General features: G+C 37.5%; 1 protein-coding gene across 3 annotated transcripts in view, besides 1 other annotated feature; it reads right to left on the minus strand.

The window, feature by feature from the left end:
- The window catches only part of ITGB1 (integrin subunit beta 1), a 57,913-nt gene that overhangs the window by 18,130 nt on the left and 14,724 nt on the right, over positions 1-25,059 (minus strand). For all 3 annotated transcript variants that reach the window (NM_002211.4, NM_133376.3, NM_033668.2), the window contains 10 exons: positions 17,045-17,111; positions 14,068-14,153; positions 11,375-11,597; positions 9,647-9,817; positions 7,424-7,662; positions 5,138-5,293; positions 4,193-4,288; positions 3,810-3,899; positions 1,798-1,938; positions 1,438-1,637 (listed from right to left, as the gene is read on the minus strand). In NM_002211.4, coding sequence (NP_002202.2) covers positions 1,438-1,637; positions 1,798-1,938; positions 3,810-3,899; positions 4,193-4,288; positions 5,138-5,293; positions 7,424-7,662; positions 9,647-9,817; positions 11,375-11,597; positions 14,068-14,153; positions 17,045-17,111 — 1,469 coding nt within the window. Of the gene's footprint in view, positions 1-1,437; positions 1,638-1,797; positions 1,939-3,809; positions 3,900-4,192; positions 4,289-5,137; positions 5,294-7,423; positions 7,663-9,646; positions 9,818-11,374; positions 11,598-14,067; positions 14,154-17,044; positions 17,112-25,059 lie in introns of those variants that run through there.
- Positions 20,114-20,203: an enhancer, noted in NCBI's record as "active region_3249". NCBI's record gives its function as "activates an Ori minimal core promoter by ATAC-STARR-seq in GM12878 lymphoblastoid cells {active_cell/tissue: GM12878}" and the evidence as "EXISTENCE:reporter gene assay evidence [ECO:0000049][PMID:35858748]".

Below are 25,059 nucleotides of genomic sequence, written 5' to 3' on the forward strand. Positions count from 1 at the left end.
ATCTGTTAGGTGGGAGTGTCCATGCCACAAGTCACAGTCGTGTAGTAAAGTGTACACACATGTGCAAGCAGGGACAAACATACACAGGCGCACATGTACATTCCAGCCACTCAAGTTCATATGGAATATATGCAAGAGTCTAGGAAAAAAATTTCTTCAGGAAAGTAACCATTTTGGTCAAGACAAAAATGTAATCTAGCAATGAATAGTGAATGACACATGTGGAAAGGCAGAATAAACTTAATTTTAAAGAGCACGTTAGTTACATTTTCAAATGGTATGCTATTACATTTACTATTCCAGGTGAACTGTCTAAATTTAAAGCAATGGTCTGTTAACCTAAAAAAATACAATAAACACATGCAAAAAAGTGTATGGAAGTTGAAAAAAAACATACTGTGTATACCACTTAAAATATAACTAGTATACTATTTAAAAATAAATATATCCTACATGTGCAGACTTTTCAGGTTCCCTGTGTATTTTTAGAACACATAATGCTCATGGACACTGACTGCACTGATTCTGTATCTGGTAAAAATATAAAGGAAAGAAAGGCAAAGTATTTTCAAGATAATCTTTTTGGTTAAATGACATTTTACTAAAAATGGACCTGCATGATTAAAACAGGATATGTACAACATGGAAGATAAAGAAACTCTAACATTTAAATTGTTACTTAGCACAGACAATTAAAAATTGATAGTGAGCTAAAGCCATATATTTCTTTCATAGTCAATAGCCTTCTAAGCCTAGTCTTTTGGGGCTGACACTGGATTAAACACTCTTCCCTCTTCCTATTCTTTTACAGAGAAAGCGGTATTCAATGTATACTCAGTTTTTCATTTTCAATTACAAAAAGTAACCACAGTGTGAAAATAAAATCTGAAGTAATTTTGTTAGTTTTCTTAGTACTAGATTCTACATACTGAAAATACCATTTTCTCTTTTGTATTTTACAACACATATTTATTTTTTAAAAATTATTCCAACAATGCAGAAGTACATGTAGTACAAGACAAACATCTTCTACTGCTTCATAATTCCATTTCCCAGACGAAATCGCCATCATCGGTTTGATGTTTTTCCAAAACATTTTCCTATAAACGTTATTTTACACAAGCTTATTTTGTTCTAGAAAATTGATTGCTCTCACATGAGAGAAACGCTACCTTAACAATTTGTTGAATATACTTCTTTCATGGCTATAAAATCTTTTATTTTAAAGAGTAATCACTTTAAGAAAAAAAGGCAGGAAGGAACTTTCTATAAATATCACACACAAGATCATCAAACTGATCTTGTGGTGAGCAACCGTGGTTGGAAAAAATAATTTGCTCCAAATAGAGAGATATTCTCTGGATGTCCCAAAATATGACCTGCCTATACTCTCTAAACCAATGTAGCTCTGTCACTGTCTGACAACACCCAGCTTACCTGCACGCGCCACACTCAAATGTCCCATTTCCTTCATGACACTTGGGACTTTCAGGGATGCCTTCGCTTTGGCATTCACATTCACAGATGTACTGAAGAATAACCTCTACTTCCTCCGTAAAGCCCAGAGGCCTAATTTTAAAGCTGTCAGAATCCTTTTTTGGACACTTATTTGAAGTTATGCTAATTTCAAATTGAACCTTGAAGGGAAAAAAAAGATTAACAACCAACTAAACAATTTAAATCTACTAAAAAATATTTCAAAAAGTTGCTCACTTATTTTAATGTTTCTCAAACTATAAACTAAATTTGCTTATAAATAACCAATGTTTTCTACAGAAAATGCTTTATACAACATACCTCATCTCCAATGGAAATATTGGAACATTTTCTTCCATTTTCCCCTGTTCCATTCACCCCGTTCTTGCAGTAAGATTTGTAACTTATTGTTACGCCTTCTGACAATTTGCCGTTTTCCAAAATGACTTCTGAGGAAAGGGACTAAAAGAATGCCTAATTATACACAGGAAAAGTCAAACAAAATGCTACTTGAATGCATAAAACCAATGGATAAACTGCTCAGAAAAAAATATATTTCAATAAAGTATCTACAAGCCAAATCCAATTGAGTAACTAGAAAACACAGAGGCCAGAGAAACAGGTTTTAATTAATAAGGATCAAATCTTTAAAATAAAATACACAATTGAAAAGAGTATTCCTGTTTTAATCACTGAGTTAAAATACTCAGGATCACACAGTGCAGAGGGCTGTTACTAATTAGGAGGAGTCTTAAAAATGTGGAATAGGCCGGGTGTGGTAGCTCACACCTGTAATCCCAGCACTTTGGGAGGCCAAGGTAGGTGGACTGCCTGAGCTCAGGAGTTGGAGACCAGCCTGGCCAACACAGTGAAACCCCATCTCCGCTAAAATACAAAAAAAAAAAAAAATTTATCCAAGCATGGCAGTGTGCACCTGTAATCCCAGCTACTCGGGAGGCTGAGACAGAAGAATCGCCTGAACCCGGGAGGCAGGGGTTGCAGTGAGCCAAGATCACACCACTGCACTCCAGCCTGAGCAACAGAGTGCGACTCCATCTAAAAAACAAAAACAAAAACAAAAACAGAAACCCCCCAAAAAAAAACGAAATAAATGCTGTCTTCCCCATCGGCAAAATGGCATTTCTGTAGTCCTACCTCTCCAGCTAACTATGGACTAGGGTAAACAATCAACTATGCAGTCTAGGAACAAATTTGCTTAAGGAACCATTGTAGCCCAGCCAAAAAAAAAAAAAAACAAAATCCCCCAAGAAGGAAGGATTCAAGCCAGGGCTTGTTTAACATATGAGACTATTCAGGACAAATGGAGAAGGGTACAATGGCAAGCTATCTCTTGTTCACACCCCTGAAAGAACAAGAGTTAGGAAAATTATCTAAGACAGGGGAGAATGGGAAAAGCTGTGGAACAAGTAAAATATTAAAAACCTTTATAAAAACCCCTCCAAGTCAGGCCTTTCCAAACCATTATGGTACCCCATAAAAAAGGGAAGCCTCATATGGTAGGCTGGCCTTTCCAAAGCGTTATGGTACCCCCATGACATGAAGTAAAAATGTCTAAAATTCAAGCTGCCAAAGGGTTAGGGGGATGGGGGCTGAAAGTGGTGCACGAGACACACAAGGGTTACCTACCAAATTACAACCGCCTTCAGATTATTTAAATGATTATTAATGAAGGCTAACTCGGTGTGATTAAAGTACACTGAATTATGCTCAAAAAGGATAAGCCAATTCCTCTTTAATTTCAATTCAACTTCCTCCCATCTGTGAGGGGAAAACAACACTATAAATCTTTTTGAAATAGGCAAATCACATGTATATTTACATTTTTATATATTTTATGGTATACGTATATATGAGTGTGTACCTCCTGAAATAGAAACCCATATCCTCTGAATATATGGGAAGAGAAGAATTGGCAAAAAAAAAAACTTTTCTAGCACAATTCATCAGAATAGATGACTCTATAAAGGATATTTTGGGGAGGAAAAAGATTGGAGAAATCCTGTAAGTTTAAATGTAAGTTATGTTTTACAATTGCTTTCTAACAAGGAGATCTATTCCTTAATGATAAACAAACAGTTATTTGGAAATACTCCCCACATGCCTTTATCACATTTTCACTTTGTTTAGGCCATGAATCTTGCTTTTGTAAGACAATATGTATAAAGTTTTTCCTCTAGATACATACAGAATTTAAGTTTTTCTGTAGTACTTTGGGCTCGCTAAAGTGTGTATGAAGGAAGTTTTACTTTCTTTGTACAAAGTATTCTCAACAGGGTATTGTCCAAAACTGATCTTATTTAAGATGTACTCACATTGTATGCATCAATGATCAACTGAATTACATTGCTAGAATTTGCAGATAATGTTCCTACTGCTGACTTAGGGATCAAGTTTTTCAGCTCCTGCAATTAAAAGATAAAACACGTAAAATACAACTGCTATTCATTCAACCAATTAGGATCCACTGAGCAACTTTTATCTTTAAATGCCAGTTCCCATGTTTCCTCCTAACTAACTTTAGGAGTCAAACCTAGAAACCAGTTTTATAATATGTGATTAAAAATTAATATAAACCACTTTTGTAAAATTCGGTTTGCCTATCTGGTGGCATTTTCCCACATTTCAATTCAGACATGATTTGCCTCTAACAATCAAAAATGTTTAGAATCTTGTTCTTTTTATCTCACACATTTACCTTGTAAACAGGCTGAAATTCTTCAGTAACTGCAAAAATTGTCTGAATATTATTTTCACTCAGTTTCTGGACAAGGTGAGCAATAGAAGGATAATCCTAAGAAATCAAGTAATATAATTTAGTATTTAAATACACCCTTATAATCTCTTCTAATTTTTCAATCTAGTTATACATGCAAGATTACACATAACTCGATTACAAGACTGCTTTAGATAACTAGATTACATATATAATCCATATATAGCTAGATTACATCTAGTTGCATACATATAACTAGATTACAAGACTGCTTTCAAATAACAGTATCAAATATAAACTGCTGAAGTGAGTCGTGTGTATACATGAATTGCTAATCCTCTTCTCTTTACTTTCATGTATGAATAAAAAATTCCATATTCAAAAGGTTTTAAATAGTAAGTTTATCTATGTATATTAAATATAAGGACAATGAAATTAAAGAATAGTCAGTAATTAAATATTCTATTATCTACAACTTAAGAAAAAGACCAAGATTTACCATTTGGATTTCTTCTAGAACTTGAATGCTTTGCCAATATTTATTTTCAATAAAGGCAGAGTGACTGCTTTTAAAAATCGTATAAAACAAAGAGTATGAGACTAGATAAATTATTTATTTAGAAAGAGTACTGACTGTGCTACCAAATGCTGTGGGCGGGGAGTTGAGGCAAAGAGTGAAAGTGGCATCTGGGCATCCCTTTCCCACCCCAGTGAGGCCCTTGTCTGAGCAGAAGGAAGCAAATACAAAGCTGCATCTTCACAAACAGCAACACTAGCTTTCCTGCACTTTCAATCAGGACCCCTACTTACCAAAACAGCAAAACCTCAAACCCTGAGAAACCCCAAGCCAGTCACCCACAAGCTCTTAGTATTAAACATTAAAATCCAACATAAACACATTCACTATGTAAGGAACCAGGCACTTACATAATAATGGCTCATTGTGTACATATTATTTTCCAGGTGACATTGTCCATCATTTGGTAAAACAATGCCACCAAGTTTCCCATCTCCAGCAAAGTGAAACCCGGCATCTGTGGAAAACACCAGCAGCCGTGTAACATTCCTCCAGCCAATCAGTGACTTGAAAAGAAAAGGATTTCAATTTTAAAACACTATTCACAGTAATTCAACAAAAATCCTTTAATTTTCATATAGGCCACCATTGTATTTTTAACCTAATTCTGTATTTTCTGTGTCTTCTCTTTATACAATGGTAATTATCTTGCTGAGAAACACACAAAGCCCACTGAATGAAGCTCTTCCATCCCATGTACAACGATATCTTGCCTGACCATCCGTATCTCTCAATCTCTCAGTTCTTTTTAAAAACTGTTTTTTTGTTTTGTTTGGTTTGGTTTAGTTCTGCTTATCATCATATCTCCAGCAGCTAGCAAGCCAGCACACTGCTTGGCAAGCAGTAAGCCCTTGATGAGCATTTGCTGAATAAATGAAAGTGTCTGAGCCTATCCTTACTTTACCCCACTGCTGCTGTCTTGTCCCCATCCACCCATCTCTGCTCTATGTTCTATGCCATGCACCTTCTTTATCAGCCCACCATATGAGGCTTCCTTTTTTTATAACAGAAATAAGTATCTTGTTTAAGGATAATTTCACCCATTCTAACTCCTCAATCAGTACTGTTTATGCACTCATTTACTTTATCCTTGCCCTTTCCAATAAAGAATCTAAAGTAACTGTAAAATCTTCTTGTCACTATGGTAATTTATAATTATAAAATCATAGGACTATAGGAATTTACCTGCTTTCGTTAATTTATTTAATACGTCTGTTTAGATCTTCATAAGACAGTAAAATACTTTAAGGTGGGAATCACATTTATTAATACTGGCAATCTTTCAAAAGTGGAATGTCTGATTCTTTTGCATCTAGAGGAGTGGATCAGCATGACCAACACAGAAAAACAGCCACAATCAAGGGTGTTATGGCTTGTTTAATACCACAGGTTAAGGCCTAGTTAGAGGCAGCCCAGAGAATGCCCTCCCCACAACGAGCTGCTAACAGGCTCACACATCAATGGCTAGTAAGAAAAGAGGTGTAAGGCTAGGTACTACCTGGAATGCTACTTGCTTCGGCTATAACAGCAGGGACTAACCTTAAATTGCAAACACTCTAGTGAAAAGTCGAAAGTAATAACAATATAGGAATTAGTATTTGCTGAATGCTCATTGGTACTTTATAGAGATTGATGCATTTTAACTTCACAAGAGCCCTATGAGGTAGATACTATCATGATCCCTTCTTAAAGAGAAGAAAACAGCCCTGGAGAGGCTGAGTAAATTGCCCAGCATCAGTGGTGATAGAAAAATTCTTAATTACTATCCATATTCCTTCACTTATTATTTTGGGCATCAATTAGCACCTTAGCAAAAATTGACTGAAAAATAACCACTAAGAGGCCTCTAAAATCAAAGAAGGTCATCTAGAGAATGGGGGCACTGGAGGGAACAAAAATGAGACAAGAGTAGGTACGCAGGACAAACTTGACATGACAATGTCTTCTAGTTTCAGCCTCAGCCACATCATTAAAGTGTCATCTCAAAATACATAGCTGCTACATGGATCATAAAATACAAATTATTGAACCAATAGGGATGGGCTTGCTACTGAAAATCTTACAATTAAAATTACAAATATTGTATCACTTCTCAAAATACATCTATTCATATAGGTTAAAAACTAGAGCTTAAAAAGTTCTCTCTTTTTGAATTACTAAGACACAGGAGAAAGATGTGTCTTTCAAAGACAGTGAGAAGAAAACTGACCAAAGGAAAATGATACAAGACACTCTCCCTTTGAGCAATTTCAAGGTTCCTGGTGATGCCTCAGATAATAACATCAATTCTATCTCTAGTACAAAGCCAGAAAGTTAGGACACATGGGCTTTTCTAAAATCCAGACCACCAGCTACAGTACAGAGAGGTTGCCCCGCTGTTTCAAATGGTTAGCATTCTGTCTTTTAAAAGCCCGCATGAATAAACTAACTGTGTGGTTTGCATAAAGATTAAATATGCTTTTATAAAGGCACTTTATGTATACAGGCAATTTAAGGGTTTACTTAAAATTACTTCTCTAAGATAATCAAATCTATGAAAATTAAGGTCAATTTTTCTATTATCATAGTAAAATCACACTTAAAATTCACACACATAATAGAAACAATATCCCCTGATAGGAAATGAATGCGCTTACTCCACAAACTGCAACTTGCATGATGGCATCGAAACCACCTTCTGGAGAATCCAAATTTCCAGATATGCGCTGTTTTCCAACAAGTTCATTAAATACTTCTCCTTTATTAGTAAGACTGAGCACATTTTTGTAGCTAAATGGGCTGGTGCAGTTCTGTTCACTTGTGCAAGGGTTCCTGAGCTTAGCTGGTGTTGTGCTAATGTAAGGCATCACAGTCTTTTCCACAAATGAGCCAAATCCTGCCAAGAAAAAAATGGTACATAAATGAATGAATGGATGGATAGATGGAAAGACAGAGATTTGCATTGTTTAAAAAATTCATCTATGTTACCAAATGTAGGTTACTATGGACTGAATGTCTGTGTTACCCCAAAATTCCTACATTGAAAACCTAATTCCCAACATGATGGTATTAGGAAGTGGTTCCTTTGGAAGGTGATTAGATCATGAGGGCAGAGCCCTCATGAATGGGATTAGTAACTGATACAGTTTGGGTATCTGTCCCCGCCCAAGTCTCATGTTAAAATGTGATCCCCAATGTTGAAGGTACGGCCTGGTGGAAGGTATTTCGATCATGGGGGCAGATCAATCCCTCATGGCTTGGTGCTATTCTGACCACAGTGAGTGAGTTCTCATGAGATCTGTTATTTAAAATTGTGTGGCATCTCTCCCCAACTCTTGCTCCTGCTCCCACCATGTGAGAAGCCTGCTCCCCACTTTGCCTTCTGCCACGATTGGAAGCTTCCTGAGGCCTCCCCAGAGGCCTTGCTGATGCTAGCGCCATGCTTCCTGTAGAGCTTGCAGGACCGTAAACCAATTAAACCTCTTTTCTTCATAAATTACCCAGTGTCAGATATGTCTTTATAGCAACGTAAGAATAGACTCCTACAGTGACCTCATCAAAGAAGCCCCAGAGAGCTGCTGTCTCCCTGCTGCTATGTGAGTACATCGCAAGAAGGTATCATCTATGAACCCAGAAGAGGGACCTCACCAGATGCTCAATCTGCCTGGATCTTGGACTTCTCACCTCCAGAGCTGTGAGAAATAAATTTCTGTTGTTCATAAGCCACCCAGTTTATAGTATTTTCTTAAAGCAGCACAAATGGACTAAGACCTAAGACAATCTTTTTATTTTGCCTCCCTACTTTAAAAATAACTCACATTCATTTTCTTGGCACACCAGCTCTCAATAATGACATGCTGAACAAATGAATAAACAAATATTCTAGAATTCTGGCCATTTTAAAAAACACTAATTTGATAGGAGCTCCCTAATGCCATGGTCCTTGAATTATGCTTACAGAATAAAAGAACATTTTAAGCAAGTGCTATTTTTAAATGTTTCCACTAAAATAGGGCTAATTTTTGAAAGGCAGCTCTTAGGCCTCATAACTGTCAAATCTTTCTAATATTCTGTTGCTAAACCTCTAGAGCAACAGGAGTGGAGAGAAGCAGGCAAAAAAGAGGTTAAGCTGGGGATGCATGAAATGGGAAAAATAAGGTTTGGAAAGCAGATCATCATCATATGAAAAATCCAGGTCTAAGATGAGATCAGGCTGTACGGGCAGGTGCAGACATACTAATTAGCAATTAGATAAAATCTGGGTATTCAACACATGTTTATAAAATAAGTCATAAGGGCCAGGCATGGTGGCTCACGCCTGTAGTCCCAATACTCTGGGAGGCCAAGGCAGCTGGATTACCTGAGGTCAGGAGTTCGAGACCAGCCTGGCCAACATGGTGAAACCCCCATCTCTACTAAAAATACAAAAAATTAGTTGGGGGTGGTGGCAGATGCCTGTAATCCCAGCTACTCGGGAGGCTGTGGCAGGAAAATCACTTGAACCCGGGAAGCGGAGGTTGCAGTGAGCCGAGATCACACCACTGCACTCCAGTCTGGGCGACAAGAGTGAAACTCTTAAAAATAAAATAAAGTAAGTCATAAGATAAATGATCAAGTTAGTATGAAAATAAGCATGCAAGTCATTATCTATGAGGTACAATCTGTGTCAAACAGTAGCATCCAGTGACAGAGGAACAAGGTGGCAGAAAAGATTATTAAACGTGTGACTGGAATATCAACTTCCACTCAGAAAAGGCTAAAAAACTGGCTTGTTTATCTCACAAGTATGTTGTGAGTAACAAAGGAATAAAATATAAAACAACATTTGAGAATTGCCAAGACTTTATAATGAAAATGGTCAATGTTCCCAACATTCCTACCAATTCTGAAGTCCGAAGTAATCCTCCTCATTTCATTCATCAGATCTGTTCCAAGACTTTTTACATTCTCCAAATCGTCTTTCATTGAGTAAGACAGGTCCATAAGGTAGTAGAGGTCAATGGGATAGTCTTCAGCTCTCTTGAATTTTAATGTAAATGTCTGTGGCTCCCCTAATTAGACAAGAGATTAGAAAATGAAACTTGCCTGTTGGCAATCAAACGCAAACGAGAAAAACCAAATAAATGTGGTTTACACGGTAAACACAATAAAATAAAACATGTTGTCATAATTTTTACAAAAACCTGGGAATTCCATAAGTAACTCAATGGGTATGTATTCAGTTTCATTCAACAAATACTTTAAACACCAGGCCTTCAGGATGCAAAGATAAAAAAGATATTCCCAATCCACAGTGGACAAAACAGACAAAAAGTCAGTTTATAAGAGAAGAAAACAAATAGAACACCATAAATTAGTCTGGAGAGGGCAAGGCAGAACACGTGATAGGGTACAACTGACTTTTTAGACACTGAAGTTGTGAACTCTGTTCTGTGTGTAGTGGGATGCCACTCCCTGCAAGTGAATAACATGATCCGATCTTTACTTTAGAAAGCCTGGCAGACAGCTTTAAAAATAATTATTTATTTATTATTATTTATTATTTATTATTTTATTTTTATTATCATTATGAGGCAAAGAGACTAGCTAATCTACAAAAGAAACCCAGAGAGAGATGATGAAGGAGGAGAAGAGAGAGATACAAGAGACGTTAATGTAATTTACTTAGGAAATACAGGAGAGAGGTTTGGATGAAAATGTAATTAAAATTTTAACTTGTAGTTTTCTCTATATAGATTTCTAATAGGCAATTGGAGAAATGGGTTTGGAGCTCAAGAAAAGTCTGTGTTGCTGCAGCATACAATTGGGTTTTAAAGCCACGAGAGGAAAACTGACATTTAGGTGGACTGCAAAAAGGGAGGAAGAAAAAAGACACAAAAAGAGGCCTGGAAGGCAATGGTAAGAGACACAAAGAAAAACCGAGGAGTGGTATCATTGATCAAGGACAGAGCATTTCAAAAAGTACAAAGTGTTACTTGGTACAGAAGAGTTAAAAAAAATCCTGACAAGGGTCCCCTGGGTCTGCGGGCTGAAGGCGATGGTGGAGCTTTGCTAGAGCAGGATGAGGAGGAGAGGGCTGACCTGGTTGAGGAGGGGCCGGGAGGGAAGTCAGGGGACAGGGCCACTCTACCATTCTCCTGACAAGAAAGGTCGGAAACCAGAAAAGCGAGGATGAGGGCTTGTTTTTTCCTTCATGTTTAGATGTGGGACTAACAGACATAATTACAAAAACCTTAACAGTTTAATAATACTAAACAAATACAAAGGAAAAGAACAGGTTAAAATGTTGCTTTTATAATATATTATGTAATTAGACCAGAGGATGAACACTTTCATTTTTAAAACTCACTAAAGCTAATTAATACTTTCTGAATCTTTAACAAAATTTACTTTGAATATTAGGCAACATTTAATATTATTCCAAGTAAATATGTCTTACAATTGTTATATCTGCAAAAATTTTCTAAAATTTAAACAATTCCACATTTTTGAGTGCCAGTCCACATGTAAAAACGAGCCTTCAACAGAAACTGGTCAGAGTTTGCATAAAGCTGGTGTCGAATGCCTCAAGTAAACACGCAGGTATTCACAGAGTTGGGCTTCCATACCTGATCTTAATCGCAAAACCAACTGCTGTGGTTGGATCTGAGTAATATCCTCTGGCTTGAGCTTCTCTGCTGTTCCTTTGCTACGGTTGGTTACATTTTTATTTTTCTTTATATCTTTGGAGCCTCTGGGATTTTCTATGTCATCTGGAGGGCAACCCTTCTTTTTTAAGGCTTCTAAATCATCACATCGTGCAGAAGTAGGCATTCCTTCCTGTAAAAATGTCTAAATGACATATAAAATATAGGTATAAATGAAAATTGTAATGGTCAAACCTTTTTACATAATAATTGCAAATAAGCAATTAAATTGCAAAACATCAAATCACATCTAATGTACCCCAATTCTGGCTTTTAAACAAAATGCTCCCTTCATCCAAACTGTGGTAAGTGTTCTTGTTAAAAAACAATCATTTCCAAGAAAGTAATACCTTTCCCAGAACTGACCCAAGTGTACACAGTAAATGCTCTATCTTGTAATTCAGAGTATCTAATCAAAAGCAATTTCTTTAGTGAAATCACTAATTGAGCATGGTTAATGGCTACTAATAATGTATACATACACCCAAATATCAGATCATTTCTCCAAAATTTCCCTTTGAAAAGTCCTTACAAAGCGTCTCATATTATGTGGCACTCTCCCCATCGCAATATGCTGAACAACCCGATGTTTAGGGAAAACAGACGAGCTTAAAAACATCTCAATTAATTATTGCATTTTTTAAAAGGACAACACGAAATTTAGCACCGATTAAATAAGTATTCCCACAGGTTTGAAAAAACTTTAAGTATTAGCTATTATTGTAAATAAGTTTTTAAAAAACTTTTAAAAAGCAAAATAGTAAGTATATGACAAGGGTAAAAGGAGTAAGTATATGACAAGGGTAAAAGGTCCTAATGGCAGGTAAATTTCAAAAAAGGAAAAAAAGTTCTTAATGGCAGGTGAATGGATATTTGCAGTAGTAAAATTTCTAGTAATGACAGAGATTTTAAATGTGGTATACATCAAACAACTTAGAAATAAAAATTTAATCATATAACTGAAAAGTGCCTTAGTGAATTCAAAAACACTGCTGTTAAAGATCTATATAAAGACTGTGAATAAAGGTGTTTCAAGAAATGTGAAAATGTGGGGGAAACAGTGACATTATATATGGTATTTATTTATCAAATATCAATTTAACGGTGCTGTATAAAGTAACAGTAAGTGAAGATATTTAAATTTAAAGAATACACAATAGTTTTTACATAAGATTTTTTAAGAGAAACATCATACTAATGAGAGTATTTATGTAATCAACAACTGGAAGGGAATACCAAGAATCAGATAATTCAAAGCTGCACTATTTATTAAACCTAAACTACTACCTACCAAAGCACAAGATCCTAGTGAATTACACATTTCTAAATACTAATCAATCCACGAAATTTACAATCATGACACCCAAATACAATTTCACTGAATATATTCAGAAAGCCTTTAAAATTTTAAGGATTATGCTCCAAAGCTCAAAGGCTAAGATAATCCTTAACTACAGATAAACTGTAGTCCCCATAAAATGGATATGTTAACAATAATAGCAGCTACCACTTATTTAGAAGTTTTTAAGTGAAACTGCTTTAAGTTCATCAATTCTAATTATTGTAACAATAGATAAAGCGGATATTATCATCCTCATTTTCAGATATGAAAACCAAGAGCTTCAGTTACATAAGCCTTGCCTGAGACAAACTCACAACACTCCATATTTCCTCCACTGTTGCCAATGTAATCCCAACACACCACTTTTAGAAAACACCATTAGAAAATTTTTGAAAAACAACAAAACCTCTCATTTTTTCTTTCATGTGGTCAAACCATACGACATATCTGACACTTGACCACTTAGGCATACAAAAATAGGCACTTGAAACTTGGGCCCAAATGCCTGCATGAAAACAAAATCAGTAACCCCTTGATCTTCTGATATTAGTTATTCATTCTGTGAATAAACTATACAACCTCAAAATGACTTCTCCTTACCTTCTCTTTTGATATATTCATTCATTCATTCATTGACTCACTGAACATTTAGTAGGCTTTGTGGAAGGTACCATATTAGCAAAAGTATAGAGATGACAAAAGTGAATAAAATCCAAACCCTAATTAACCTCAATAAGCTTATATTGGGATGCAAATCAATTCCAGTAGTTTAACTCAAATATAATTAAGAAGGTTAATTTATACCTCCCCATCAAAAAAGGGGAAATCTGAAACAGTCAAACTAAATGACTAGGATTTTTTTGAAGGTTCTCCCATAAAAATCTAATATGTGCCACAAAGATGAGCTACAAATATATGTATTTTAAAATTGTTTAGTAGCCACACTAAAAAAAGAAAAAGAGAAAATTTTAACACTGTTATAACATTATTTTTAAATATACAAAAATTATCATTTCACCATTATTATTTATTTAATACTAAGTCTTTGAAATCTTGTATATCTTTGAAACTTAGAGCAATTCTAATTTGTACAAAAGTGCTCAATAGCCACATCTGCCTAGTGGCTACTGTGTTGAACCACATAGCTCCAAACCATTAGGTTATTCATTTTATGATTTACATAAAAATTAATATGTGCTTCTGAAGGATACAGCACTGAGCCACACTAAATGACCAGAGAACAAATGGAAAGGACTTGAGCAACCTTACTTACTGAATTTGTGCACCACCCACAATTTGGCCCTGCTTGTATACATTCTCCACATGATTTGGCATTTGCTTTTAAACATCTATTTTCATCTGTCAGAAAGAAGAAAGAACAGAACATTTTATGTGAAGTGTCAGAGAGAAAATAATGAAAAATCAGAATCACAATGACAATGCAATACATATGTTAAATATTAATACTATGACCTAGTTACCATCTAAACTAGACCTTCCCCAAAGAGAGCAGGATTTTTTAATTTAATTTTTAATTTTTGTGGGTAAATAGGTGTATACATGTATGGGGTACATGAGATATTTTGATACAGGCATACAATGCATAACAGTCATATAATGGTAAATGGGGTATTCATCCCCTCAGGCCTTTATCCTTTGTGTTACAAAGAATCCAATTATACTCTTTTAGTTATTTTAAAATATGCAACTATATTATTATTGACTACAGTCACCCTGTTGTGCTACCAAATACTAGGTCATACTTATTCTTTCTATTTTTTTGTACCCATTAACACTCCCGACTTCCTCCCCACCTTCTCACTACCCTTCCCAGCCTCTGGTAACCATCCTTCTACTATCTTCATGAGTTCAATTGTTTTAATTTTTAGCTCCCACAAACCGGTGAGAACAATGCAAAATTTGGGACCGTGATTTTGGATCACCTTGACACTGAAAGCCACAGAGAGACATAAGTTATCTTCCTTGTCTTCTGTATCAAAGACAAGACATAATTCAGAATTTATCATTCTTGACTGTCATAAATGTCATGAGTTCTCTTAAAACTGGGCAAAGTATTATTTCTTGTCATTTAACTCCTACCATACTCACAAGAATCTTCAAGGCTTTCCCTTTGCTTTCAGTATGTTAAATAACTGAAAAGTCCATATTCATCTAATCCATAATCCCAGAATTTCTCAGGCTCTATGTTCAAAGTATGTTTTAGGTTTCTTTGCATCTACCTAAGGAAGAGTATGCCTTCTACATGGTAAGCGCTAATACAGACTGTCTCCAACGTATCTTTTCTGAGATTATAAAACCAGCATATGCTTCTTATAGAAAATCTGGAAAACACACAAGAGCATAAAGAACCAACTCACTGAATCTGTTAACTGAGAGAGGACTGTTGCTAACATTTTTGCCTATTTCTTTCCAGTCTTTTTCCTATGCAGATAAATAGCAAGGGGAAGCAAGCATATATATATTAATACATGTATTATTTACATGAAACTGAGGATGCACTTTATATATACAGTTGTACAGTTTTGTATACTGTTTTTTATACCTTATCCTAAGTGTTTTATTCTTATCATCACAAATTCTTTTTAAAAAGAATTAAAAAGCTTTTAATGATTATGTATTTCAATATAAGTGTACTCTATTTAATGCTGGACAAATTTAGATTGTTTCCAAATGTATGTGTGCACAGTTCACACATGCTTGCTCACATGCACATATAAACACCCCAAGTACACATATACACATACTGTACTACATGCACATACACATGCTGATGATCTTATATATAAACCTTAGTACACATCTGATTATTTCCTTATAATAAAACCTAAAAGAATAATTAACTACTAAGTTGAAGAGCATATTAACATTTCTAAAATTCTCTATACACACTAATTTCTATCCAAAAGTAATATACAGTTGACCCTCTGTGTCTGTGGTTTCCAAATCAGTGGATTCAAGCAACCACGGATCAAAAATGGGGGAAAAAAGTGTCTGTACTGAACATGTACATACTTTTCTTCCTGTCATTATTCCCTAAACAATACAGTGTAAAAGCTATTTACCTAGCATTTACATTGTATTAAGTATTACAGGTAATCTAGAGAAGATTTAAAGTATACAGGAGGATATGTGTAGGTTATATGCAAATATCATGCCATTTTATATCAGGGACTTGAGTATTTGTGGATTTTGGTATCTGAAGGAGGTCCTGGAACCAATTCCCCATGGATACCATAGGGCAACACTACTAATATAAGCTCCCACAAAACGGCAGTGTACAAATACCATTTTACCACATTTCCAACCGAAGTGCTTTAATGTTAAAAAACTGTTGCTCATTTCATAAGTGTAAATTAGAATATCAATTCATTGGTGAAGCCTATCAATTTCAGGTTTTACATTGTTTCATATTTTTACTAACCATTTCTTTTATAATTTTGTTATGTCTTTTGCAAATTTTTTTGTTATGTTCCTCAGTTTTTATTGGATTTCTATACACATTAATGAAGTGGAACCTTTGTTTAGTTTCTCATCTTGTTTACGGTGTTCTGACACAGAATGTTTTTGTTATTACTGATTTTATGTAACTAACTTATCAATACTTTCTTTTACGGTCTCCTGCTTCATTTTTACTACTTGTAGTAAGTCCTTCCAATCCTGATATCGAACTGCTCTATGCAGTGTAGTTTTTCAAGATTCAGAGGACAGAACTGCGTATCCATTATTCCAGATGTGGAGCCACATCTTTATAGAAGGGTTAAATACATTTTCAGCTTTATTTTCACTGCTTTCCTAGATGATGCCAACATTTTGTGAGACTTTTTTATCAAAGAGTGAGAATGTCTTCTAGAAAGTCTTTGCAGATAATAATGGACAGTTCATAATCCTCCATTCTACACATTTATTTCATTTGCTTCTAAATATACTTGCTTTTGCCTTCTGTTCACTTACACACTCTCATGTTCTCAAAAGATCTTCTTGCAGTGTGTTCAATCCCTAGCATTTTAGTACTTCACCAGCCAACTTGCCTCCCATCATCCCAGGTGGCAGGGGTGAGGGGAGCCTGACCATGAAGGAACTTGACCTTTCTCTGAGTAAGAGGAACAATTGCAGGGCTTCCAGAAGGAGCAGCATGATTATGACTTAGGTTCTCATATGAACCTAACTGGTCAAAGCGCAATACAAGATACGGAAATGAAAAGACAACTAAGAAAATTTTTTGTTTTTACCTGTTTGAGCAAACACACAGCAAACTGAACTGATCAGTCCAATCCAGAAAATTGGTTGTAAATTCATCTGAAATGTAAAATGTGCCTTATATTAGTTATAAAGAAATAAAATGAAAAATGCATTAAATAGAAAGTATTACCCCACCGTACCTTCTATTGCTTTTATAAACATGATGGCTCTCAAACCATTTCACTCCAGCCCCTCTCCACAGACCCTCGCCCATCTCCCCTCCCTATCTGGTTCCCTCACCTTGCACCTACACTGCGAAAATAACTTCCATACCAGAGCCCCAGAATCCATTCGTGCCTTTCTCTAAAGCAAACCGATTATATTTTAACATTTAATTAACAGCGCTCAAAAAAAAAATCAGTGTTAAGTATTCCTCAACACCATAAAACCTACCAATGGTCTCAGCCCATAGAATCTCTATCTCCATTATCTCCTGCGGCTCCCAGGGGCCCAGACCAGCATATCCAGATGCCTCAGTTACCTCAATGCTGAACATTCGTTTTCAAAAACCTGATCAAGTCATCCCTCTGCTAACAATGCGCTTCATCAGTTTTTATTTCTTCAGGCTAAGGCCAACATCCTGCATAAGGCCCCAAATAGATTTTTGAGCTTGTTTTCCTATTATCTCTCTTTTTTAAGAAAATCAACTTCTGCCAGGAGCGCTGGCTCACGCCTGGAATCTCAGCACTTTGGGAGGCTGAGGCAGGCAGATCACCTGAGGTCAGGAGTTTGAGACCAACCCAGCCAACATGGAGAAACCCCAGCTCTACTAAAAATTAGCCAGGCATCGTCGTGGGTGCCTGTAGTCCCAGCTACTCCGGAGGCTGAGGCAGGAGAACTGCTTGAACCTGGGAGGCAAAGGTTTCACTGAGCCAAGATTATGCCACTGCACTCCAGCCTGGGCAACAGAGCAGGACTCCATCTCAAAAAAAAAGAAAGAAAAGAAAAGAAAATCAACTTCTATGCATGCAATAAGTAAAATACTCAGTTTTAATTTCCTAGAGTGTCCAGACCCCCCACCTCTCCCCCAACAAAAAAAAAGAGGGCATAAGACAAACTGAAAAAGTCTTGTCTTCTAGAACCTCTAACCAAAAAATTAGGTAATATTCTATATACTAAATACAACTACCCCAATTTCCTACCATTAGGTACATATATAACTATTTTCTCTGAATCAAAGCTTTCACGATGATATGAATCTATATCTTTGATTGGTCAAAGATGGCTACGGCCACTGGTTGCTGACTTGATCCCTTAACTACTTACTGCTCTTGGACTAGCAGCCAATCTAATAATTATATATAAGTATCTGTCCCTCCACAAGAAGAAATACTCAAAAAAGCAAATTTATACAAAAAAAGTTTAGGTTTAATCGTTATTGGAAAATGTAAATTAAAGCAACATAAGATGAACTAGCAAAAATAGAAAGTTTTTTAACCCAACAAAACTATAGCAGATGGCTGCGAGAAACCAACTGGTAGCTCTGTGAACTGATACAACTTTTTGGGAAATAATTTGACAATTTATATCAAAAACCATAAAAAAATTTCTACCCTCTAATAATCCAGCTACTGGGAATTTACCCTAAGGAAATACTTAAATATATAAAAGGTGACACACATATACACACACATTCAGTATAGTACTCTAGTATATTCACAAGAGCAAAAATGTAAATATCCTATATCCAATAACAGGGAAATCTAACTGCATCAAGTTTAGGGACTTATTAGTCATTGCAATAATAAAATGCAGCAACATTTAGAGTTATAGAGGGCCAAGTGCAGTGGCTCACGCCTGTAATCCAGCACTTTGGGAGACCAAGGCGGGTGGATCACGAGGTCAGGAGATCGAGACCATCCTGGACAACATAGTGAAACCCCGTCTCTACTAAAAATGCAAAAATTAGCTGGGTGTGGTGGCATACTCCTGTAATCCCAGCTTCTCAGGAGGCTGAGGCAGGAGAATCGCTTGAACCCGGGAGGCGGAGGTTGCAGTGAGCCAAGATCGCGCCACTGTACTCTAGCCTGGCGAAAGAGCGAGACTCCGTCTCAAAAAAAAAAAAAAAAAAAAAAAAGAGTTACAAAATAATTTTGGATGTAAAGTACACAATGAGAAGAACGTGACTTTCTCAAGGCAAAAGAAAAAAAGATGAGAAGAATATAAAAATAATACTAATAGTTTCATATAATCTGAAGATAACAAAGAGTTATATGCACAATATAAAGACAATGAGGGCCATTTGTTTTTTAAACTGTTAGGGTCTTCTTTCTACTTTCTTAATGAAAACAACTGTAGCACAATTTAACTGTGCAATTATTTTTCTTGACAAATTTCCTTTAATATGAAAAAAGTTCACTGAATTCCAAGTTAACACTGAATATTTCTTTTACAGACCTCCATCTTCAAGGGCTTACATTCCAGGATGCTATTCCCCTGGCTCAGAGAGAATGCTTTAAGTTGTGCTCTGAGCACCCGAGAGAAAAGAGTTAAGCGTAACGTGAAAAGTCATTCACTTCTGCAATCGTGCTCAGCCCAGCAGGCTGTTATGCCTGAGCTTGCAGTTTTGCTTACATATCACTTGTGACTGTATCCAAGAGACCAGCAAAATCTGAGTGTCACAGAAGTGTGAAATGCCTACCAAATTCACCTTTCAAGGCCTGTCTAAAAGGTTTAGTGTGTAGTAAATCCATTAGACTATAATTCTAAGCAAGTCAAATAATGTTATCACGATTCCAAAGCTATGACAACAGACACCTGAAACATTAAAAGTTCCTGAGGAAATGCATTACTGTGATGAATGAAGCATGCAGGCAGTTTCCACACAAAGGGAATGGAACAAATATTTGTTCCATATATGGACAGATACATGTTTCTTCAGGATACAACTCAGGCTGTTTAATGATCACTAGAGACTGCTTTGAGAAATCTGTCAACATATCATACAATTTAGACAATCACCACTAAGATGAAGTTATTAGGTAACAGAAAATGATTCCTAACATTCGGAGCCACACTACTTTAAATGTCACTGTCCTTTCCTTCTATAAACCTTGACAAGGCAAAAAGTCAACCTTCTGAAACCCTTGTGCCTCCGGAAGAGCTCCAAACCCGGAAGCAGGCGAAACAAGGCTTCAGTGTTGAAGAACAGCTGAGAGAACAAGGCCAGCAGCTGGAAACAGTTTAATGACAGATGTCAACGATCCTGCGACTGGCGACTGGCGGGGCACTGGCAAGAAACAGAGAGGCACTGCCATTGGCTAGTGATATCTGTAAAAGGCGAGGCTTTCTCTCAGGGAAAGGGAAAGGCTAGAGGATGACTCCAATTAAGAACACAGAAGAGCTACAGGACCAGGGGGCGGAGAGGAGACCACAGTTAGAAGTGGCCTGAGGGAAGCAAGCCACAGAGACCCGGACAGGAAAGGAGAGGCAGAGGGCCAGGGAGCCTCGCTTTCAATGCTGCTGGCCTTCCCTTCTACCGGTACTGGGTGCCCCCTGCACATGCGCATGGAAGGGGAAGGAACAGGTGCCCAAGTCCTACGCCACAAAGCTCCCAGGACAGCACTTCTCTAAGTGGGCCTAGAGAACAACTGCATTGGGTTTACCTGGATGCCCTAGGCTTAAAATCCACAATCCCTGAGCATGGGGCCTGGACTCCAGGTGATTCTTATGCTGAGAAAAGGACCTGAAGGGGTTTCCTCCCAATGGCATTCCATATAAAACAGAGTATGAGGGGATAACAGGGAAAGATGCCTTTCAGTTGCTGTCCTAATTCTAACGCTTGTCTCCTCTTCACGGTCAAAGACCTAGAAACAGTTGTCTACACTGGTCTCCATTTCCTACCTACCTTCCCTCTCCTCAACCCAGTACCTTCATGTGTCATTTAACAAAGAAAGAGCTCTGAGAAATGCGAAGGCAATCTCATCTTTGTGCAACCATCACAGTGCACTTACACAAACCGAGATGGTGTGGCCTCCTACACATCCAGGCTCTACGGTACAGCCTATTGCCCCTAGGCTACACACCTGTCCAGCACAAGACTGTCCTGAATACTGCAGGCAACTGGAATGCTGCAGTAAGCATGTGTGTATCTACGCACAGTTAGACACAGAAAAACTACACAGTAAAAGTATGGTACAAAAGATTTTAAAATTGATGCACCTCTATTACCATGAATATAGCTTGCAGGACTGGAAGCTGCTCTGGATGGCTGGGTGGGTAAGTGAGTGAGTGAGTGAGTGAGTGAGTGAGTGAGTGAGTGAGTGAGAGGGGCAAGTGAGTACACTGCACAGAACACACACTGAACAGGACATTACTGACATTACTATACACAGTACTGTGGACACAAATACACACTACATTAGCCTAAAGCCTGCACAGCTGCCCTGGGTCAGGATCATCAATGTCACTGTCTTGCGCCTGCATATCCTGTCTCCAATGACACATGGAGCTGTCATCTCCTAAAAGATCTCCTTCTTCGGGACCACTTCCTGAAGGACCTGGACCTGCCTGAGGCTGTTTTACTTTTTCTGTAAGGAGAGATACTCTCTCAAATAACAACAGGCTGGGGGCGGTGGCTCACGCCTGTAATCCCAGCGCTTTGGGAGGCCAAGATGGGCAGATCACAAGGTCAAGTAATGGAGACCATCCTGGCCAACATGGTGAAACCCCGTCTCTACAAAAAAATACAAAAATTAGCTTGGCGTGGTGGTGCGCATCTGTAGTCCCAGCTACTCTGGAGGCTGAGGCAGGAGAATCACTTGAACCCAGGAGATGGAGGTTACAGTGCGCCAAAATTGCGCCACTGCACTCCAGCCTGGCGACAGAGCTAGACTCCATCTCAAAAAAAAAAAAAAAAATTAACAATATAGTGCAGTAAATATATAAAGCAGTAACATAGTTGTTTATTATCAAGTATTATGCACTGTAATTTAGATGCTATGCGTTTATAAGACTGGCAGCATGGTCGATTTGTTTACACCAGCATCACCACAAACATGTGAGTAATGTGTTGCACTATGACACTACATTACTAGGCAACAGGTGTTTTTCAGCTCCGTTATAATCTTATGGGACCACTGTCGTGTATGTGGTCCATCACTGACCGAAAAGTCATTATGTGGCACATAACTGTGTAACTGATGTCCATGCCCAACCATATATGTGAAATTACTCTTGCAAAAGAACCCTTTCTAGGCCTTACCTTACTCTCTGCATTCATTCGTTCATCACTCATTCATTCACAAATTTTTTGACTCACTACAATATGCACTTGAAGAAGTACATCGGTTTACTACCAAAGAATTTACACAAAGCAACATGTAAGACTATTCACCATTCTTTAACACACTCTACTCCCTTGAACTCTACTGGTTTCCCCCTGCCTTTCTGGAGGTTCCTCTTCAGACAACTCTGTCAGGTTTTGAGCCATATCAGGAAATACAAGGGTCACTGCTTCAGGGAACTTTCAGTTCAAGGACAAAAATACAAATTATTATGATATGATGGTTTCAGTAATAAACAAGGACACAGTGCACTGAGGACACTGAAATCTGCCTGGACAAGTTCAGAGGCATCAGGCACATGGCAGTGTTTCAGTTAGACCTGAAGGCACATAGGAGATGGGTGTGGAGAAAAGTGGAGAGAAGATATTCCAAGCAAAAGGCCTGCATATACAAAGCCATGAAGTCCCGAGGCGAATTATAATAACTCCTTCCTAATCTTATTTCTAAGCATATGCATTTGGGCAGCTCCCTGCAACCCAAAATTGGAACTGTCTCACTTTTTCTCTCTTTATAGAAAAAAAGACTAGAAAAATGTATGTTTTTGTAACTATATCTTGTTGGTGGAATGAGTGATTATTTTATCCTTATAATTTTCTATTGTAAGTATAAGTTATATTATCTTAAAATCTTAAAATATCAGAAAGGCCAAAAGGAATCTTGAAGTATTTCTGAGACTTAAATTATGAGTTGGAAATAACAGGAACGAAGACCAAGCAAGCAGGAAGAGCTACGTTACAGAGAGCCAAATACCATCCATGCTAAAAGAGTTTGGATTCCATTCTATAAATAGGAAGGGAACTGAAAAAATTTGGGCAGGCTAGTAATACCTCTACATATACATGGCAGAAACTCAGTGGAGAAAAGGACAGGGGGCAAGACAGGAGCTGGAAGACAAATACAGAATTTACTGCAAAGGTTCAAGTGAGAGGTGACAAATGTCTAAATTCAGATAACAGCAACAAACAAGAAGACGAACAAACAATGATTAGAAGGTAGCTATGAGGGATCTGCTGCTTACTTGGAGAAGGAAGGATGGGAGAAAGAAAGGAATTTAGAATAATCATCACTTTAAAATAAAGAAGATGTACGAGGGAGAATGGGGTTAGGGGAAAAAATGAGGTTTGTTTTATTGCAAAATCTAGGGAAGATGCCTATTGGGAAGCTAGGACATGAGTATGGATCTCAGGAGATAAGTCAAGAGTTAGAGACACAGACATGAGAGTTGTCATAATCTAGGTGCTAACCGAACTTATGAAAATGGATGTGATTGGGATGAAAAGAATACTTAGGAAGAAAGGAGAACTGGGGGCAAACTTGAAGAGGTGAAGACACAGGAAAAGAGAAAAGGAAAGTGATGAAGCCAGGCCTCCTTGGAGCAAAGAGGGATGGCATGTGCAGCCCAAGGGGGTGGATCACCCTAAACAGAGACATGGTGCCTTTCTTCTAAGGCAGAGCAGGAGGTGAGAAAGCAAAGAGAGTTCATTCATGCATGACTGTTTTTTTCTGAAATAGGAAGAACTCCTAGGAAAAGAGGTACGGCTTAGGGGTTGCAGAAAATTAGGAAGATGCAATGGGATTACAGTGAGAGCCTGCAATGGTGAGAGCCCACCAGGTATTGGACACCCTAATTTATACAGGCATATTTGTAACACTCATTTCACTTCTAACTATTTGTTAACATGTCTTCCCTGATGGATTCTAGGCTCCAAGAAAATAGGGCCTGGGTGTATCTTATTTATAGCTATTGCACCTAGAAATACTTGGCACAAAGTCCATGCTCAAAACTCTTTGCTGTTAGGCTCATGCCTGCAATCTTAGCACTTTGAGGGGCTGAGGTAAGAGGACTGCCTGAGGCAAAGAGTTCAAGACTAGCCTCGACCCTGTCTCTCTCTCTCTCTTTTTTTTTTTTTTGGGGGGAGACAGGGTCTTGCTCTGTCGCCTAGGCTGGAATGCAGTGGTGTGATCACATCTCACTGCAGCCTCAACCTCCTGGGCTCAGGCAATCCTCCCATCTCAGCCTCCCAAGTAACTGGGACTACAGGTATGAGCCATCATGCCCACCTAGAGATCCTGGCTCTACAAGAAAATAAATTAGCCTGGGCAACATAGCAAAACTTGGTGGAAGTGGGGGCCAGGGGAAGGGGCCATGAGTCCAGGAGTTGGAAGCTGCAGTAAGCTATGATCACACCACTGCATTCCAGGCTGGGCAATGGAGTGAGACCCTGCCTCAAAAAGTTAAAAAATTAAAAATATTTTCACTGAACCATATTGAATTGTATGACATTTTTCTCTGACATTACTCAGAAGAATGTCTCAGAATTACTTAATGTGCAGAACTTCTCTAAACAGAAAAGTGTTACTATAGACATCCAAGTGACAACTTAAATTTTCAATTACTTTAAGTATATAAGCCAACTTATAGATAGATATAAAATGTCTCATGCTCATAGCTCTTAAACATTATGAAACCAAAATTAACTTCCAAGTACAAACATAGATTCTGAAGTTATATTACTGGGTTATAAGATGGTCAACCAGATAAACTAAATGTTTATTATTAACATGAAAGCATGATTTTTTTTTAAATTTTGTAGAAATGCCCAAATCTCTGAGAATACCTCCCATGGTCCCTCAGACTCCAATTTGGAATCACTAAATCTATTCCCTGGTGTGCAGGGCAGGTGCAAGAGGAAAGGTGGGGGTGGGGGGCAAAGAAGGTG

The sequence above is a fragment of the Homo sapiens genome, chromosome 10, assembly GCF_000001405.40.
Source record: "Homo sapiens chromosome 10, GRCh38.p14 Primary Assembly".
In the NCBI taxonomy this organism is placed as follows: domain Eukaryota; kingdom Metazoa; phylum Chordata; class Mammalia; order Primates; family Hominidae; genus Homo; species Homo sapiens.